Below are 20,655 nucleotides of genomic sequence, written 5' to 3'. Positions count from 1 at the left end.
CTGTGGCCTTTGCACTAGATATCCTAAAGTCATTTTGATTCAACAGAGAGAGGTTAAAAGATGATTATTAGATTCATTGTATTTTTATTTTAAATCTGAAAATGTATAATTCACTCTCTATTACACTTTAAAAAAAAACACCTCACTCCCTCATTTATAAATCCTCACTCACTCCCCTTTTGGACTTCTGTTTTTAGTCCTACAGTTCTCCTCTACTAGGACACCCCATGGCCACTGTCCCATGCACCAATTTAAATTCTGCTGGTTCTTTGAAGCTTGATTTAAATGCTAGCTCCTGCAAAAAAAACCTCCATGTTCCTCCTCAAATACCACTTTGTATAAATTATGATGTAGATGATCCAAAGTAAAGATCCACATTGATTTCCATTAGGTCTCATCACCCTTTCACCTCAGACGGTATAACCCAATAATCACTGTAATTATTCACTGTCACAAAAATGAAAGGCTTAGAGGGAATAAGATCTAATGTTCCATAACAGAGTAGGGTGACTATAGTTAAAAATAATGTACTGTATGTTTCCAAATAGCTCAAAGATACGTTTTGAAATGTTCCCAACACACAGAAACAATAAATGCTCGAGGTGATAGATATCCTAAATACCGACTTGATCGTTACACATTCTAGGCATGTAACAAAATATCACAAGCACCCCATAAATATGTACAAATATTATGTATCAATAAAAAAAAGTGAAAGGCCTAGAATCAATGGGTCAAGAGTCAAGTTTGATAGGACTCACCGCCAAACACATCTCCGTTCTGGTAGTTTTTCCCTTTCTGGGCTTCCTCTTCATTTTGAACAGTGGCAACATGCTTGGCGGAGGCACAGCCCATAGTCTCATTCGGTCAGCTTCAGCCGGGCTGAACTGCAAATCATCTCTACAGACACAGGGACATTTTTTTTCTTTAAACACAAAGAAAATCCACCTTGCTGCTGAGTTGGTCAAGATGTGTGCACCTGCAAGAAAAGAAAGCTAGATTAGAATGGGCAGTGACTGCAGCAAAACACAAGCCTCACTATGTTGGTGTGCTGTGCCCTGCAGTATACTAGAAGTCATGCACAGACCCACCCATCGCACTGGTGTTGTGGTGGGCACAGAAGAACCATGTGCAGCGTGGCCCATTCTCACTTGATTTCCCACTCAGAAAGCAAGATGGAAAGGCATGTCCCTATGCAACACATGGCCAAGGAGTGAACTTTTTGAGGAGATACCAAAAATACGTATTTATTCAAATACGTATTTGGGCACTACTGCTTGCCATACATACTCTTAAAGTACCTGTAAGTTTACTAATGTTCTGAAATCTCAAAAACTGTCGAGGAAGGAGAGCCCACTCTTGAGATCCACCTAGTTCAGGAGGCTGGGAAAAGCTCTTCATCTTCCTCATTCTACCCTGAAGCCAGCCCTCCCAGCTCCTCAAATTTTGCCAGGAAACGGTAGCCATCCTCCTCAGACTGGTACATGGGCTACTTTATACATTTCTGGTTAAGGCTGTAAATAATTCAGTATTTTATTTTACCTGAGGTGACACTGTTTTGGAGACAAAGGAAGGAGATGGGGCAAGGTCTAAAACTTACTTCTGTCCATTTTCTGCTTAGCTAGCCAAATGTTTTAAGGATTGGGCAGAAGACGTCAAAATATGAAGAAAAGCAACAAAGCAGTTGTCAAGCTTTTGGCGTAAACTTCATGCTTCTACCGATTTCTCATAAAGGCTTAAAGAGTATTTACAGATACACTGCAAAAGAGATAATCTTCAAATTGACTTAAGTGACTTTACCTTTCCCTGCCCCATCCAAGGTGGCTCCTCAAATTCTGAGTGTTTGCTCTGCTCAACTTGCTCATTTTTGTTTTATGCTTTCATCATCCTCACCCAACCATTCCAGGCCTATAGATGACTTACTCCAGTCTTGTAAATGTTTCTTTTGAAACATCTCTCCTACACATTCCTTTGTTTCCATCCCTCCCACTGTAATACAGGCCCTTACCTCCTCAGAGTCCTGGCAGAACAAAGAAGGCATCAAGCCTCTTTGAATCTTCATCAGCACCCACGTCCCACTGCCCCCCGCCCATGAACAGTGGAAGTTTCTCAAGTTTCACAGATAGTGCTACTACACAGTAGCTATAAGCTTTCTCTACCAAGAAGACTAGAGCTCCTAAACCCTCCTTGCTAGGGCACTAAGGACATCTCTGGATGTAGAAATTTAATCATTTAAGCCATAAAATCTCAGCAAAGAGAATTTTTCAAATTAACATAATCGATCTAATAAATGAACTTAGATAAAAAGGCAGTGATCTTAAATTAAGCCAAGCAAATACAAATTGCCATAAATATTGACAATGACTATAACATTGGTCATTTCTCATATAATTCTTCAAACTATTCTCTATCAGTGGTTATGTTAAATTATTAATAGGAAGTGTAGAGTTGGTTGGTAAAGTTCTACAAACCAGGAAGATTTTCTCCTAGATGGCTAATGTTTATATCTTCCCCATACTTGATGTAACTTAATGTTAACAAGTCTTCATCTCAAACTATATGAAATCCAGGCCTGTGGATGGACACACACACACACACACACACACACACACACACACACACACACACACCCTATTCCATTATTTAGCAGTAATGTCTTCAAGGCTACAGTATTTCTATTTGATGGTCTATTCATACTGGTGTATAGAGCTCAGGGGCCTTATGGAGAAGAGATGCTGACATTTAAAAAATTGCACGCAATACAGTGTAATACAAGCTCTGATTGTGGTTTCACAGGAATCTATGGCAATGCAGAATTCAAAAAAGCAGATTAGATTATGACTGGGCAGAGGAAAGAAGTAGTATTTTTGTAGGGTATCAAAGGTTTGGTAGAAATTTACCAGGCTGAAAGGATGGTAGCATTATTCAGCTGCAAGGAACAGACTGAGCTAAGACACTAGAATGTGGAAGAGCATGGCCTATTTGTGTGTGTTCATTTCAGAGGGGTCAGGTGGGGATGGGGGGGCAGGGCTGAGGACTGGACTGCTGATACTTCGTGAAGGGCCTGCAGAAGGCCTTGCTACCTTCATTCAACTGAATAAAGGACATCGTAAGACCATAGGTACTCTTTCTGATCCAAGTTAGAGCACACTGTGAGAAAATATTAAATGAGTTGTGGAGAGGTCCATTCTGTCAACCTGTCATAGTTTTTGAAGAAACATCAATGAAATATTAGACAAGAGGGAGAGGACAAGGGGTTCAGCTGTAAAGGTGGGAGAAGGGAAGAATCCCCTCTCTAACCCGGAGGCTGCTGCGAGTTGCTGTTTTTGTTGCTGCAGCCAATGCTGTTGCTACTTCTGCTTTTGCTGTTGTTGTTGTTGTTATTGCTGCTGCTATTGCTGCTGTTTTGGATTCCCAGCCAGCACCTTCTCAGGGGCAGCATCCATCCCCCTGCTTCCTCATCCCCAGCATTATCACGTAAGGTAACAGGCGTGGGCTCCCAGACATGATTCCTTACTGTTCAAAAAGGAAGTATGGGAAAACGACTTCACACTTACACATATGCAGGAGAGATTGAAGTGAGAGGGCGAACCTAGGTGGCTTCCCTGCCACCTCTTCAGAATAAACTAAGTAAAAACAGGAGAGAGGGGGCAATCCTAACAAAATCAGGGTACACTGAGAATTAAGAGACAACTTAACAATCATCCTCTTTGAGAGTCCTCTTGCTTTTCCAATTTCATATCTACAGCCTCTTATGCTATCAAAGAAGCAAAGGGAAGAATTGAAGCCATGACTTATCCTTTGCTACTCCCGAAAAGCAGTTAGTGGTATTTCTTCTGTGTTTTAAAAGTTGTGTTTGCACAAAAAAATTTTATTTGAATTTTAAAGGTGGAAATTATTTGAAATCAAATACATTGCAGAAGGCTAACAGAAATAAGACACAGAAGAATGGCTCTTTTTTTTAAAGGATGTCTCTATTATTCAAGCATTGGGGTGAGGGGCAGGTTAACAAGCAGATTAGACATGATTTACACCCAATTCAAATGATGACTCAAGAAATTTCAATTTAATTACACATATTTTAAAGCACTATAGCTCAATATGAGTTCTCACCAAATTATAAATAGGTATAGATTTTGTTTCTGAAACATATGTGCTACATTATTTTATAGCAGTAATTCAAATTTAAGAGTGATGCTTTCAAGTTTCAGGACCTCATCAGGAATATATTTTAGTAATTTACTCATTTGAAGGTGATAATTATGAAGTCATTTGAGGGGCAAAAGATCTCTAATTCACAAAGTTAATCATAGATCACTGAAGAAAGTTTTTTACTATGTCATTTGGATTCTGCACATAAACACTTGTCCAATTATTCATTCATTTAATCAACAGATTTTGATTTTAAAATACTAAGTGACAGATATGTGTTTGGTAGGTATTGTGCATATAGTGGCAAACAAGGCAAGATATATGTTTTTCTTCTCTATCCCTATAGAACAAGAATGATCAGAGAAGGAGATAATTAGAAAGACCAGTTTTGCAGCAATGACGTACAGCTATTGCAGCTTAAATACAGGATGACAAGAGAGTTCACCTCACAGGCATTTGGCTCAGCTTTGGAATGGAGCATATCAAGAAATGTCAGGTTAGAGACCTGAGCAGAGCTAAAGAAACAGGATTAAAATATCCCTGATTTGTATCTCTTTTATAGCCTGATATAATGTCAAGGTTTCATTTCTACCGAAAATTCTTTCACTTAATCTCAATCCAACTGAGACCTCACACTGAGCAGACCTTCAAAAACATATCCCCAAAGACCGCTAGAATCATCTGCTCAAAAGACGTTCCCTTCAGTTTATGCTATCCTTCACGTAAACTCCAGCATTTTTTTTTTTAGCTTCCATTTTTTCATTCGCTTTGCTCAGCTTTTCTCTCCCAACCTCACATGCTCTATTGTTTACCTTCCTGAAACCACAGCGCTTAGAGAGAGGTAAGTCTGATGGTGCAAACAAGCATGCAGAGACCACGACCTGGAGCAGCTCTGAGACTTTTGTTGTCACATGTTGTTATTACCAGCATGTTATTTCTGAAGTCACAGATCACAGTGTGAGAATTAAATCGAAGCATCCCTTTGACATTTGATGGAATCTTCTAAAACTAAGTCCCACTGAGGATGACTTTTCTTTAATCTAAATGATCTTTGTCATAGGATCATCAAGCACCTCTAAAAACATGAGGTCCAATTAACTGCCCCATGGCTTTGTGTAAACCCCTCCCCAAATGGTTGTATGTCTACATTATCTTGCCTTATATAATTAGAAGTGCAATCCACGATACCATGAGCTAGCCTAATTGAATGCCATCTTTACAGGACATTTTTCCCACTTTTGATAAAATAATCAGCAAATTTGTAAGCCCAGTTGAAATATTTTTAAAAATGTATAACCGTGCATGTTTATTCTTCCTCTCCTTACACCGTACCTCAAGGTGCTTCAGATATCAGAAGGGAAACTACTGTTCCAGAATACTTCATGTGACAACATGAGAAAGTTCTCCCCAGGCAAGTAGGTCCATTACTTTTGTATGAATACATATCACATATTACACACATGAAATACCTTGTCCTTTTATAAGGAAAGATTATAATAATTCTTTTCATTACCTTAGTTTTTTTTAACTAGAAACAAGGTTTCATTAAAAAAAATCCTACTTTTATAAAATTGGGAAGGAATAAAAAAAGCAAAATCTGTTTTTAAGAAAAAGCAGAGATATTTGAACTTTTTTTAAAAAAAGGCTACAGGAAAATATTTCTATTTACATAACATTATGTGTAATTTCACTTTCCACTAATTAGTCATGGACTTTTTCATTTTGGATACAAAAGGCAAAAATATTGTAGATAAATTCCCTGTCAAGAAAGGCACTTCTAAAATACGAATTAAAAGTGATACATTCCATAAAGAAATTCTAGGCCAAAAAGAACATGAGGCTTGGAGGACTGGAAAGAAATCAAATTCTGATTGCAACGGGCACACAGAGAGCTATGAAGTCAGCAGTTAAGCAAAGGATACAGCCACATTATTAATAGATCAGGAGCAAAGTGCCCCCTTTCTTCTTCTGATTAAAAAGGCAAATCAAGACAAGACACATCTAAAAACTCCTCTCTTTTATTGAAGAAACAGCTAACATCTAAGCTCCATAAAGGAAAAAATATATATCTATATATATATAAATAACTAATCAGTCTGTTTGCCCATCTGCTGGGCTTCACTGTAATGAGTGTTAATACAGCAGCCCACCGAGGGGGAAGAAGAAAGGCAACTTAAAAGTGATTTCTAATCTTGAAGCTTTGGTATCCTTGGGCTACTGTTAACACCATTTCACATTTCATTGTGAACGTTAAAAATAATACATAAAGAGATGTCACATTTGACATGAGAATAATCTAGAAAAGTCAAGCCTTTCATTACCCAACAATCGCTGGCATCACAGAACACATTCATTCCTCACCTCACACTCGTCTGATGGCATGACAATCGACAATATGCTATTAACTCCAAAGATACAAGGATTTTGGCTTCTGCCTTCTTTATGGGAAAACTCTCATGTCCACATATAGTAATTCTACAGAGTTGTCTCTCAGAAATGTAACCACAATAAGTGTTTATGCAATAGGACACATTTCTGCTAGATTCAGGCAGTAAGGTGTGGGGCCAAGGAGAAGAGGTGGCAAGTGGAAAGAGTGTTGGAGAGGGCATGAGAAGCCCGAGCTCTGGTCCCAGCTGTCACATGCCTGCCTCAGGACCACGGCTGGGTTTCATGTCTCTCGGCCTCTTTCTTAGACTCTATGATCTACCTCAACATATGTCCAAGTAGTGATATAAAGGATGAAATGACCACTTAAAAAAAAGCCATGTCTTACCTACATTCAATTTATTTACACTCTTTGTTTTCAGTACTAACTCAACTAGGACATACTTGCAAGTCTGAAACCTCAAAATTTTCAGGAGGCCCTATAAGGTCTAAAGATGATTACCAATGATGTTTTGGCCTAATAGCGTTGATTTCAATTGCGTATTTGCTGGAAAAATAAACACAGCTTAGATCCCCTATTTCTTCTTCTCTATCTTGCCTTTAATGAATGAAATTAATTTTAACAGTATTTCTTATAGGGAGCTGGTTAGAAAAAGTTGGTGCAATAATTGTTCTTCAGCTAAGGATTTAAGAGTGTTGCACATTTCTCCTGCACCAGAAAACTCCTCTGTGTTACCTGTGTATGTTGACATGAGCTCATGCATGGCTGACACTATTTCTGAGAAGGCAAGAGAGGAAAACACCAGCCCCTGATTAAAGTCACACATTCACAGCTGTGTGGACCCATGCAGAAGACTTATGCTGCTTCTAGATTTGCTCCTCAGTGGTCAAAGGCAATGGCAGATATTCCTGGACTTTGAGTTCTCTTTCTTGTTCTTTTTTTTTTTTTGAGAAAGAGTCTTACTCTGTTGCCCAAGCTGGAGTGCAGTGGTGTGATCTCAGCTCACTGCAACCGCCACCTCCTGGGTTCAAGTGATTCTCCTGCCTCAGCCTCCCTAGTAGCTGGGATTACAAATGCATGCCACCATGCCCGGATCATTTTTGTATTTTTAGCAGAGATGGGATTTCGCCACGTTGGCCAGGCTGGTCTCGAACTCCTAACCTCAAGTGATCTTCCCATCTTGGCCTCCCAAAGTACTGGGATTTCAGGCGTGAGCCGCCACACCTGGCCTTCTTCTTCCACTTCTAAGACCCAGAATACCAAAGGTATTTGCAAGAGGTCTTCAGCTTGTGTCATGGGGGACCTCTGCACCACTGCTTTTACAGAAAGACACCTGTGACTAGAATTTCTTGACAGATGTGCTGCTGGTTCCCCATGTCACTTAGGACAAAGCCATGTGATTTCCTTGTTAGTATCTTAAAATTAATAATAGCAGCACCTGTTTTCCCCCTTTTTTTTCTGGACTGTTTTGAAAATCTAAGTAGATAAGAAAATGCTTTGAAAAAGCACTTATATATGCAAGGTGATATTCTGCGTGTACTCTGCTATGCCAGGTGGACAACACTTCTAATCAGACGTGGGGCTTTTCATGAGCACTGGGTGAAATCAGCTTGCCCAGAGGGCCCTCATAGCAGGCAACTTTGCTGACCTAACCCAAGCACACTCAGACTACCAATGACCAGGAACAGACAGAGATAACGAGAGAAAACAGATGGAAAGGGAGAGACTTTTAAAAATAAAAAAACACACACACAAAACTGAATGCAGAATAAGTATGAATTACTAAAAGGCACAATTTGATTTTAATCAAAGAGAATAAGTAGTGATCCTTCCAGAATAGCCATGGAAAAACATCCTAGGCACTCCACATGTTGAAACATAGTGTAAGAAACAGATAGGATTCCTGCCCTTGGAGGACCAGCATCCAGCCAGGGCTAACAGATCATAAACATAATAAAGTAAAATAAAATCCCAATGATTAATGTACATTGCAAGGAAACAAAGGATCAGAGATGCTTATGAGAGTCAGAAGATATTTCAAGCTAATTAAATTAGTGCTTGCCCTAGCTTTATTTTATGCACCAAGGGATGCAGGATCATACAGCAAAATGTGCAACTCTTAGCATACCCTCCGTAAGCATTTGCTGATGGAGAGTATAGTGAAACAGATGTCCTATCAGTCTGAGCTGCTGATCCTCCCTAACACCATAAACTACAACAGAGAACTGTAGCTGGATTAATCTCTCAGAAACCTGCAGTTTACTTTCATGGTGCCAGATGACAAAAAAGAGTTAATGCCACTGATCCCTTGGCCCATGCACACATCTGAAAAGCACATGTGTTTTCATCATTGAATTGCAAAGCCTCAACTTCTACACAAATCCAATATATTCCACATTTTCAATCCAGTTCAATCCCTTAGTTTACTGCTAGCATGACTTGTAATCTCAGCCTTAAGCTGGTTACTGAGGTAGATGTAAGGAAATACAATAAACACACGAAAGATCATGAATTTTCTAAGCTAATCATTAGAAGCAAACATGAGAATAGTTTTTTTTGTTCGTTTGTTTTGTTTTTATTACAGAGTCTCACTCTGTCACCCAGACTGGAGTGCAGTGGCGCGACCTCGGCTCACTGAAACCTCTGCCTCCTGGGTTCAAGCAATTCTCGTGCCTCAGCCTCCTGAGTAGCTGGGACTACAGGCACGTGCCACCATGCCTGGCTGACTTTTTTTTTCTCTTTTTTTGTATTTTTAGTAGAGACAGGGTTTCACCATGTTGGCCACACTGGTTTTGAACTCTTGACCTCAAGTGATCCACCCATCTCAGCCTCCCAAAGTGCTGGGACTACAGGCATGAGCCACCAAGCCCGGCCTTTTTGTTTGTTTTGTTTTCTTTTGTTTTGTTTTTGGGATGGAGTCTTGCTGTATTGCCCAGGCTGGAGTGCAATGGCACAATCTCGGCTCACTGCATCTCTGCCTCCTGAGTTCAAGCAATTCTTCTGCCTCAGCCTCCTGAGTAGCTGGGATTACAGGTGTGTGCCACCACACCCAGCTAATTTTTGTATTTTCAGTAGAGACGGTGTTTCACCATGTTGGCCAGGCTAGTCTTGAACTCCTGACCTCAGGTGATCTGCCTGCCTCAGCCTCCCAAAGTGCTGGGATTACAGGCATGAGCCACTCTGCCCAGCCAAGAATCGTTTTTTTAAAAACAAAAAAGCCTATTCATATTTTGAGTACCTGATTTGATATTTGAGTAAAAATATATTTAATATTCTTAGGATTGTCAATAATTTTAATAATGTAATGTAGTATTATAATACTTTGAAAAGATCTGAATCCTACAAATTGAAAAACTGTTTCCCTTAAAATTTACATACATATCCCTCTTCCCTTCCAAAATAACCACCTTCCTCCTTTTTTCCCCCTCCTTAATAAAATAAATAAAATTATCCATGAGAGACTGATGTAAACTGTGACCTAAGATCCTTCTCTCCTTGTGCTCTGCCTCGGGCCACATTATTTCAGGTCTGAAGAGAGTCTGAGATGATCCAATGATTCAGAAAACCTGCTTCCATCCTGCTAGGCAGAGAGCTGCTCAAGGAAATAAGCATCTCTAGAGGAAAGCCCTGACTATCCGAAAGTCTTCCTTCTGGAACTGTCAAGGTCTATCTAGAACAGCTCAAGATTAGGAAGTTTCCTGAAAACAAAAAAAGTAAACATAAAACCCTCTTTTTGGGGGGAAGGACTTTGTCTCATTCTCTTTTTCTCTCTCTCTCAATCTCTCTTTGTCTGTCTGTTTCTCTCTCTCTCTCTCACACACACACACACACACACACACCATAAAAGCTCTAAAGATGAAAACTACAACAGAGAATACCCAGTATTTTGTGATTTTTGTGACTGATGGAAAGAAAGATGTTTTGTGTCTCTGGGCAAATTACTTACTTCACAGTGCCTTGGGTCCTCATTTATAAAATGATATATGACCTCATGAATTTTGAGAGGAAAGTGTTTAGGACAGCACCTGGCACATAGTAGTAGGCAATCAATAAGAGATAGCTATTGTCATTACCATCACTGTCATCATTATTATGTAATGGAATAGTGATGAACTCTAAGATGAGAGGGGCAGGGACAAGAGACACTAGAAAGAAGAGATGGTCAAGACAGATGAGAGGTTAATTTTGGCAGCTTGGTGGTTTTTAGGAATTGTACCAAACATAAACAGGCAGACTGGATGCAGACAGAAAGCAGGAGACAGCAGTTCTGCAGCAGAAGTACATGCTCCCTGTACAGCACCTGCAAAGGCAGCCCTGAGCAGTGCCAGGGGTTTCTGCTGTGCTGGGGCAGGGAGGTCAGCCTCTGTGTGCCATATCCAAGGGCTCTAAAGGGAAAGACTATGTAAAGACAAGTCAAGGTCAGTGAGCTCTCTCCTGCTTCATCATAGCCTCAATGAGCATGTAGCTCACATCTTCCAACTATTACACTTTTATATGTCTGTCTCCTTCACCAGGCAGGTTTCCAAGGCCATGACCATCTCCTCATCATTCCCTTCTGTATTCCCTCCGGCACAATGTCAGGCTCATAGTAGGTCTGCAATAAATGAATGAATGAATTTTCTTAGAAACTCCTTTTCATGAAGAGATGAGACGGCTTTTAAGGAAGGGAGTACCCCTCTCAGCCCCATGTCCTGGGTCACCTGCATGGACAATGACTTCTTCAGTTCATCACCAATAACTAAATTTAAAAATGTTTATCTGGGCCATCATAGAGAATCTTAAATTATGTTTAGTATATACTCCCTAAAAAGACAGAAAAGGAGTAATATGTAGTTTCATACCAGTATAATGGAATTCTGAAAGCTGTTAGCACTTGTATGACTGGCCCTAATCTGCCCCCCAAAATTGTGCTATTTATTTATTTCAACAATCATTTTTGGGAAACCTGCTTAGTCCTCAACATTCCACTAGGGACCAGAGATTCCAAAATAAGTAAGACAACTAGACTGTAATGTCCATTTCCTCACTTTCCAATAGAATCCAGGGATATTTACTAGTACCTCTAATCTTGCCCATCTGAAAAAAAAAATCAAGGTTTTTGTTTGCATGTATAAGTTTTTGCTTAAACTTAAATCTTCGATTAGTTTACCATAACAAAGAACTATTTAAGGGTGATGTCCTTAGAAGGCAAAACAAATTGAAATTATAAATATTATTTTCAGGTAGCACAAATCAATGCCCCTTTAACCTACCACATTTAAGAAAAAGGCACCTCAGTTCTCATATTGCTCTCAAGAAATGCACAAGACTTTTGGGAACTTCATTGATTTTGTAGCACTTGGCCAAAAACACATTCTGTGCAATCATCCACTAAAGGAAAACAAAAAGCAGGCAACTGAGAGAAGAGACCCAGGAGGGCAATGCAAAGTCAGTTGAGTGATGGCCTCTCCCTTCTCATGTACCAGTATTCTACTGCCCTTGACGAGTTTGCTCATTACTCCGGACTGAAGAGTCTTTAGACCGTACCTACCACCATTTCTGGGATGTTTCATGGGGTTTGAGATAACAAAACATAAAAGTGAGGGCAAGATGCTCTTCCTTAACCTTGATGCCCTTCTTCAGCTGAAACACTATTAAAGAACACATACGGTTACACGATATGAGCTATTAGGACCTCACAAATGACCTTTACCAGAAATTGTAGCCTATTCCAAAATAATTATTTTAAATCAGCCAATGTTCTCCATTTGAAGTAGCGCTATTAGTGAACATGGTGTTCTTTCCTACAGCAAAAAGTACTTAGAGAAAGAGACCATAGTGACAAGCTCAGAACTAGACAACACAGGCAGGAAGAACATGCCTGAGGCTGACCACCAGGAGACGGCAGTGCAGCGTCAAGATGCATCAGCCAGCGCCTCGTGGTGTTAACACTCTTCAGCACATCACATCTACTTCCAGTCTGAGACATTAAAATTTGAAGTTTTTATCTGAATAGAGCACTAAAGGTGTGACTTGATGACACACTCTTTTATCAGAAAACAGTATAACAGTATTAGGGTAAATTGAGGATCTGATCACATTCTATTCTAAGGAGCCCTTTGCCCCAGCTGTCTGTCTCTGTGAGCCCTCCATTGGGTGGCCCAGCTGTGGTGGTTACATTCCTGCATACGACAAAGGTACAGCTGGCAAACTGCTTATTTTTCTTGAATCTGGGATGATATCCCATCACCTCTATTACATCACTGCCATTACCACCCCAGGAACAGGCCGATAAAAACAAAAGACATGCATTTTCCAATTCCAAGATCTCTCTGAAAATTTAAAAGAATTTTTAGAATCTAAATTAAAATCTAAATTTGTAGATCATTTTCTGGACCAAGCCCCAAAATCTCTTACTTATTATTAATCGGCTTTTTCTATGCCCAGATTTTTATTTGTTTTTTGCTTTTTTGAAAGAGAAAAAAACTCACATAGTCATGTCCAATGGAAATCAGGATGACCCTACTGGCTTTTCAGTGTGTCAGAATATGATTAAACATTTCAGTAAAAAATTTTACTTCTAATAAATTATCACATTAATTTTCTAAGAGAAAGACAAATTAGCATTCCTAAAGCACAAATTCTGTTGGGTCCTTCCTCTGGTCCCAAATCCTCCATGATTAACTAATGCCTTTAGGGTAAAGTCTAAGATATACCTGGATTTTCAAGCTAGACATGACTAAGGTCAAGGTTCCTAATTTTACAAATTAGAAAACTGGCTGGGCATGGTGGCTCACTCCTGTAATCCCAACACTTTGGGAGGCTGAAGCAGGAGGGTCACTTGAGGCCAGGAGTTCCTGATCAGCCTGGGCAACACGGCAAGATCCCTTCTCTCTTTAAAAGAGAGAGAGAGAGGCGGAGAGAGAAAGAGAGAGAACTGAGGCAGAGTTTAGATAACTTACTAGGGGTCCCCCAGGACCCAGCCCTGTTGACCCGCTGTTGCCTCTTCCTACTGCTCCAAGGTAGCTAAGCAACCTCTTCATCACATCAGGTGGGTCTCGAAAACCACCCCTCTTCCTCAATATTCTGCTCATAGTCCTACTTCTCCATTTCTGCTTAAGCTATATTTTTCCAGGAGGAAGTCTATACACCATTCCATGTCTTCCTTCAATTTGCTCTCTTTCCTAAACTCTTACTATGAGAGTCAACTATTTCATATTTCTTAAACATTTCTTTCAAAGTAGATACTAAGCGCTTTGAGGGCAGAAACCATCTCCTGTATTTGTCTCTCTTGCTATGCCAGGTGCCCTGTCAGGCAGAGAGCAGAAACTCAACAAATCCTCTTGAAAATGGTGAGCAGGGGACTGTCTTTTTCTTCTGCACCTGCCACAGGTGGCATGTGCCACCACCCTGCCTAGAAGGCTCTCCTTCACCTTTGCCTTAATAACTTAAGGTCTAGGTAAGCTGTTCTTCCCAAAAAGTCCCAGCACACCCCATAATTATCCCTTCATAGCCCTCATCATAGTGCAGGATATTATTACTTCCTAATTACCTGTCTACTGGGTACATAAGTAAGGAATGCAAACTCCTTGAGAGGCACAGATATATGTTTCTTGTCCCCTGTGGTATATCACCAGCTACTAACAGGGCTTAGCTCAGAACATGTGCTCAATAAATAAAAAATAAATGAATGCCTCCAAAAGAAAGTTTTAACTCCTTCTCATGGAATTCAAGGCTTTCCATCCATATTTCCAATCCCATCTAGCTTTTTATAGGCATCTTGCTCCAGCCAGTCTAGTCTGTAGCTACTAATCCCACTATGTACTTTCCTGTTCTCTGCTTAGTCTTCCTCTTAAATAGAAAGCCCTCCCCATTAATCTCCATCTGTTATTCAAATTCTACCCAACCTTCAAGGTCCAGAACAAGTCTTATCACCTCTAAGAAATCTTGCTCCAGGCACTCAGATCTTCCCCTTCTCTAACGTCATCTATATGTGTCTATGTGAGCCATTCCTCACCTATCCATGTTGCTACATGTCATAATTGTCTGCAGTTATTTTTCCATCTCAGTCCAACCTGGCCCACAGGGAGTCCTCTTCCTTTTGAAGTTAGCATTTACCTCTATTTTAGGAAATAATTCTATACACAGCCTTGGGACATCTTCACTGTTGTTCTATATTGTTAACTTGTATGCATTGTCATTTATAAATTTTTAAGGCAAGTCATGGTTTTGATGTCTTTGATTCTATCCAATTCTTTGCACAAAGTAGAAGATTAATAAACATTTCTCACCTGACATGTTGGTTAGAAAGCAAAAGTGTGTAAGATGAGAAACCTACGGAAATTAGTAAAAAAATAAAAGCTTTAACCAAAAGTGCAGCTGAAAATTTATAATTATTACAGGCTATATAAAAAGGTCAAATGTTGAGAGTATAATTACACAAAGTAGTAATTATTCTCTGAATAAAGGTTTTCAAATAGAAACTTTTGTCCATATGATAAAAATTATGAATAGAAGAGAAAATTTAGTAGAAAAGGAGTAAAAAGGCAAAGAAAGAAAAAGATATACCCTAGACTGACATCCCAAGCCCTACCCTGAGATCACGAGGATTGGCCTGCAGCATGCACAACTGCATCAGTTGACTTTTATTACAAGTCTAGGTCATAGCTGAGCTGATGCCACAGCTCTACAAAGGCTTGACCAACAACTGCCTGCACATGAACACTATAATTCTTCTTCTTCTTCTTTTTTTTTTTTTTTTTTTTGAGATGGAGTCTTGCTCGTGTCGCCCAGGCCAGAGTGCAATGGCATGATCTCGGCTCACTGCAACCTCCGCCTCCTAGGTTCAAGTGATTCTCCTGCCTCAGCCTCCCAAGTAAATGGGATTACAGGCACCTGCCACCACGCTGAGCTACTTTTTGTATTTTTAGTAGAGTCAGGGTTTCACTGTGTTGGCCAGGCTGGTCTTGAACTCCTGACCTCAGGTGATCCGCCCACCTCAGCCTCCCAAAGTGCTGGGATCACAGGCATGAGCCACCACACCCGGCCGAACACTATAATTCTTCTGATGTTGGATGGAGAGGAAGGGGGAATCAATCTCTTTTACCTGGTTTGTAATAACATTTTCTTACAATTACTTTTTGATGCACTGTATCTAACTACTTAGTTTTATTTATTTTATATTTCCCTGTATTCCCCCCCAAAAAAATATGAATAGCAGCTGCTTTCGATCATAAATACCAATTTGAGAACACAAATACTGTGTTCAAGGTTCAGTAATTCAGGGTTCAGTAACCTAGCAACAGAATGTCAAGAGACCTCCTAATCTATGCCCTCAACAGCCAAATACCTATATACCTCCAAGATATGGGCCTGTAGATCTGCTACTCAAGTCAGGTTTGGCTCATTACAAATTGATATTGGCCAATGAGAAAAAAAATCACAAAACGCTGGAGGCTTTTTGCCAAGTTTCAAGAACCTGAGTGTCATGGGATATAAATAGGAAGTAGACTTGAAACCAGAGGCCACAAAGTTGCCAGTTAGGCTTTTGTCTTGGAAAAACCCAAATTAGCCAGCATCTTTAACCCTCTAACAACTAATACCGAACATATGCTTTGTATGCCCTAGGCTGAATACCCATTTTTAATGGCAAGGAACAAATGTATTCATTACTAGGTGTGGTCCATCGAATGAGGAAGACAGGAAGAAAGAAGGTGACACTTTAGTGTTTTAACAAATTAACAAAAGGTGAATCCTCATCTCTAAGGTATATTATAAGAAATAAAAGAAAGACCCATGTCCTCCTCCCTGTTGTTTAATTTGGTTTGGTTTATCAGCTCATCCATCTCACTGTAATGGACTCTGGTTTCTAATGGGCATTTCTAGTTAAGGGTCCTTCATTTTTTAAAAGAATAGAGATGTTTTACTGGTTTTCCTTCTCTACCCAGTGGTGAAGGTCAGGACATAGGAAAGCAGCATAACAATGTGTTTTGTTTTGTTTTTTTTTAATCAACCATTCCAGCAGCGGCAAAAATAAATGAAACGTGCGAGGCTGTTTATTTGTACGTCAAAGGGAAAGCGAAATTCTCTATAGGGTGACATGATCATTTGTTTTCCCCAATGAAGCAAACAAATCAAATCGGAATAAAACAGGAGCCTACCCTCCATCATTCACGGTGTAATGAGTTCTTGCTAGATTAACCATTTTCCTTTCTTGTTATACTCATCCCAAAAAAACAGATATACAATGACATCAACAAAACAGCTAAAGGTCATCAATCTACAAGACAGGAAATGCAGCAGCCAGACTTTCATCCTTTCTAAACATTAGCTGACTCCTGGCCAGTGGCTCTGGTTCTGTAGTGCAGGAAATGGGCTCACTGATAAGACACATCTTTGGGAGGCAGCAATGATCAGGAGCAGATTTATCAGTTGCAGTATCCTAGGTCATGGAGATCCCTAACCCGCCAGGGCTCTCAACATCGCGTGGCTGCTTATTTGGTATGCTTAAAACCAAAAATCTTGGACTTACTGAATTTTGTGGTTCTTCTCCCTCCAACTCAACCACCCCTTATTAGAAGCTGAAAGCTGAACACCAACAACATTCTGTCAAGAAGACCAAAGACAGAGTGTGTGGAGGCATCAGGGAGCCCTGTCCAACTGGCATGAGAACAGACCATTCAATGGAGTAGGTCAACACACTGCCTAGAAGGAAGTTCAAAGCCTGATTGGCTGAGGCTCTGGGGTCCTAAGCAAGACTCAGGGGGTGTTCCTGGGTCCCAGGAGTGAGGTGAGGTGCTGATACTGACAATACTGCCTCCAGTAGTGGTGCTTAGAGTTGAAGATAATGGCAGGTATACAAGCCACATTTTCTCCATAGCTAGAGTCAAGGAAGGACACCTGTCCTCAACGTCAAACAGTGATGGAAAGCCACAGAATTCAGAGCATTTGCTGTACCACAGGTACAAAAACAACTGTCACTTTACCACTTGCCTTTCACACACATTGGCTCTGTCTTATCTAGATTACTTAGAAGATACTAGGGAGGCCAAGTCAGGAAGACTGATTGAACCCAGGAGTTTGAGACCAGCCTGGGCAACATAATGAGACCCCATTTCTTAAAAAAAAAAAAAAAGGAAGAAGAGAAAAAAAGAAAGAAGAAAGAAGAAGAAGAAGAAGAAGAAGAAGAAGAAGAAGAAGAAGAAGAAGAAGAAGAAGAAGAAGAAGACGACGACGACAATACTAACAGCCCAACTCCAGATGCTTATCAAGTCAATCCAGATGTACCGTGCCCTAGTGAGGTGAAGAGAAGCACTACCTTAGAAAGAGAGGTAGTCACCCCATTTTTATTCCCTCTGCTTGAGAGTAGAAATGTTTTAGTAAACAGAAAAATCTATTAGTATTGATGGATGTTCAATGCTATTTATAACATCTCCAGCCTTAGTACTTCTTGTTAATACATACACAACTCAACTTCTATTGAATGTCTACTGAAGCTTCATTTTATTTGTGATGTAAACATTCATACAGGAATGACCTTCTCCTGACAATGGGAGCAGTTGCTCAAATGAGCAGGGCAAACATTGGGATTTGGGGGATTTACTGAATGGCTTTCCTCCTACCTCTTGCTGTTCCCTGCCCCCACTAAACTATTTCAGTCACCACCTACTAACAGGATTTTGAATCAAATCTGCGGCTAAATGTCTACAGAAAAGCAGTGATGATTTCCAATTTGCCACCAAGGAAGTGTGTGTTTCTCCCAGGGTGCTTGTTGGCTCTGCTAACCTTGGTGTGGAAGGAGCCCGTGTGTGGAGTCCCTGTGGGGAAGGCCCTGAAGAACAAGAGCTGGAGAGAAACGGAGTGAAGGGAAACGGTGTGCTGAGCAGCTGTGGGAGGCTGAGGAGACTGGAAGCGGCCAGAGGAAAAGTGAGAGAAATAAAAATGGAAGCAAAGTGCATGGATGGATGCAAAAGTTTTTTGGGATGCCCTCCCTGCTAGGTCTGCTCAACCTCTTGCCTCAGCTCAAAGCACCTGGTTTCTAGGAAGCCTCTGTGGTCCATGTCCCTCCTAGGGCTCGCAGCTCTTTCCTGCACTTCCTACATCCTATCCTTACTGTGCTTTTATGTGTCTTCTTTCCAACTAGACCATGAGTGACAAAAGCAGGGGCTCTCTCTTATTCACTTTTTAGATAATCTACCCCCAACTCCTAGCACAGAAGGTGTTCAATGCCAAAGTACAGATGAATCATAAAACTGTAAGAGATGGTCACAGACAGATACTGGCCATAACAATTCTCAGCCAGCTTTGGGATCCTAAATCCACATACAGTACAGCAAACAGTAATAAATTTCTGTTATAAGAAAGTAAAGCCATTTAGTCAGTGGGAAATAAAGAATGAGAGCTGCATGTAGTTTCTCTCAATATTCTGCAAGGCCAAATTGGGCACTTTTATAACTGGCATCAATTCCTCCTGGGTACAAATTTAACAACTTGTACTCTTTGTTCTAAAAGTGTTAAGGCAAATCTTAAAAGAGTCCGACTTACCCTTCACCCTCTCCAGGAATAACTTACACACTGGAAAAATACAGCTTATTCTGTTTGAGTGATGAATTCCTTTGAATGTCAGGATATTTACTAAATAAATTATTCTATAGACCACTTTCCTTTTATTCTTCTAGTAAAGATGGTAGAGGCTGACAAGAAAAGTTTAGAACCCTGGAAAAGTCCCTATAATGTCAGTGTTCCCCAGACAGGGATCAAGATATGGAAAAAAAGTACTTCATAACAAACAGCATAATGCAATCTACATAGAAGGGTTAAATAACGTTTAAGTAGATATGATTACTATTGATATACTGCTTTATGAAAAGACACACACAACTTCACTCAAAGAGTGGAAAAACATTTACTTCTACAACACGGAAATTTAATAATAAAGGTATAAACACTACCCTAATTTCTAGTCATTTAAATGTGCCACAAAATCATTTATTCAAGAGTTAATTTATCACCCTTTTTAGAGTTTTACCTTCACCATTTTGTTACTAAACACAAAGTTTAATGCCCTTTAACCTCTGAATTAGTCTAAGTTTGCTTTTTTAAAGATTTTTTATGGCACATATTTAGGAATGAATTAAAATTAACTTTGCTATGTGAAAATTTTGAAATATTTAATGATAAGTGGCAACAAGCCAGATAATTGTAAAAGCCAGAGTTGGTATAAGTGAATGAAGAATGTTAAGTTGAAATACTTTTGGAGCTGTTTCAAATTATAGTAGAGTTGAAACCATATCCATTTACTATTCAGTACACATGTGCCAGGTATAATATATAGTTCTTATGGCTTCAAATAGTCTAGATCTAGAAGTAAAGACATTAACTCCCTTAGATAAAAGTCCTTTTATCTAATTCCCCAAAGGGACCCAGCACAGATGAAAGAATAACTATGAGATTGTGACAAACCTTCTACCCCTACCTAGTATCTCTTGGTTGGACTCAAAAGAAGCAAATACTGCAGAAGATAAACAAAGGAGCAAACACCATTGGACTATCTGTATCTTACATAATAAAATAGTAAGAACTTCCCCCACCGGAATCAGTTATCCAGCCCCTTAAATACCTGGTCCAAAGCTTGTAAGGGGAGGAAGGGAGTCCCCTTAGTCACGTATCCCCCACACTTAGCACAGGACACTTAGTATCACCTACAGAGCCAGAACGGGTCAGGCGAAGGAACGTAGGCTTTGGAGTCAGATTGGGGTAGAATCAGGCTCTACTATGTACCAACTATGAGACCCAGAGAAAGTTAATTACTCTAAATCTCAGTTTCCTCTTTTATAAAATGGGTATAATACTATCTACCTTACAGGATCATTCTGAGAATTTGAAACAATATCTACAAAGCAACTGCTATGATGCCAAGCACGTAGTAGGAACTTAATTGAAGATATCTATCCTTATAAATAAGCGAATACTTATCAGGAAGTACACATGCCTTTAAATGATAAAATGGCTATTATTTCCTAAATGCTCTTTATACTTAGCTGTCACTCCCATAAAAATGCTTCAGGATACTCAAAGCTGATGCAATCTCACTTTCTCTTTATTTATGTTACAGCCCATAGCAAACCAGACTGAGGAAA

The 20,655-nt window shown here is 39.9% G+C and overlaps 1 protein-coding gene across 1 annotated transcript in view; it reads right to left on the bottom strand.

Moving 5' to 3' along the window:
* C1orf21 (chromosome 1 open reading frame 21) overlaps positions 1-20,655 on the bottom strand; it is a 241,991-nt gene that overhangs the window by 150,655 nt on the left and 70,681 nt on the right. The window contains exon 2 of the mRNA NM_030806.4: positions 762-979. Within this exon, the coding sequence (NP_110433.1) occupies positions 762-855 (94 nt within the window). The 5' untranslated portion in view covers positions 856-979. The remainder of the gene's footprint in view (positions 1-761; positions 980-20,655) is intronic.

Source organism: Homo sapiens, chromosome 1 (genome assembly GCF_000001405.40).
Source record: "Homo sapiens chromosome 1, GRCh38.p14 Primary Assembly".
Classification (NCBI taxonomy): domain Eukaryota; kingdom Metazoa; phylum Chordata; class Mammalia; order Primates; family Hominidae; genus Homo; species Homo sapiens.
The sequence above is the reverse complement of the archived record's forward strand: the minus strand, read 5'-3'. Positions and strand labels throughout refer to the sequence as shown.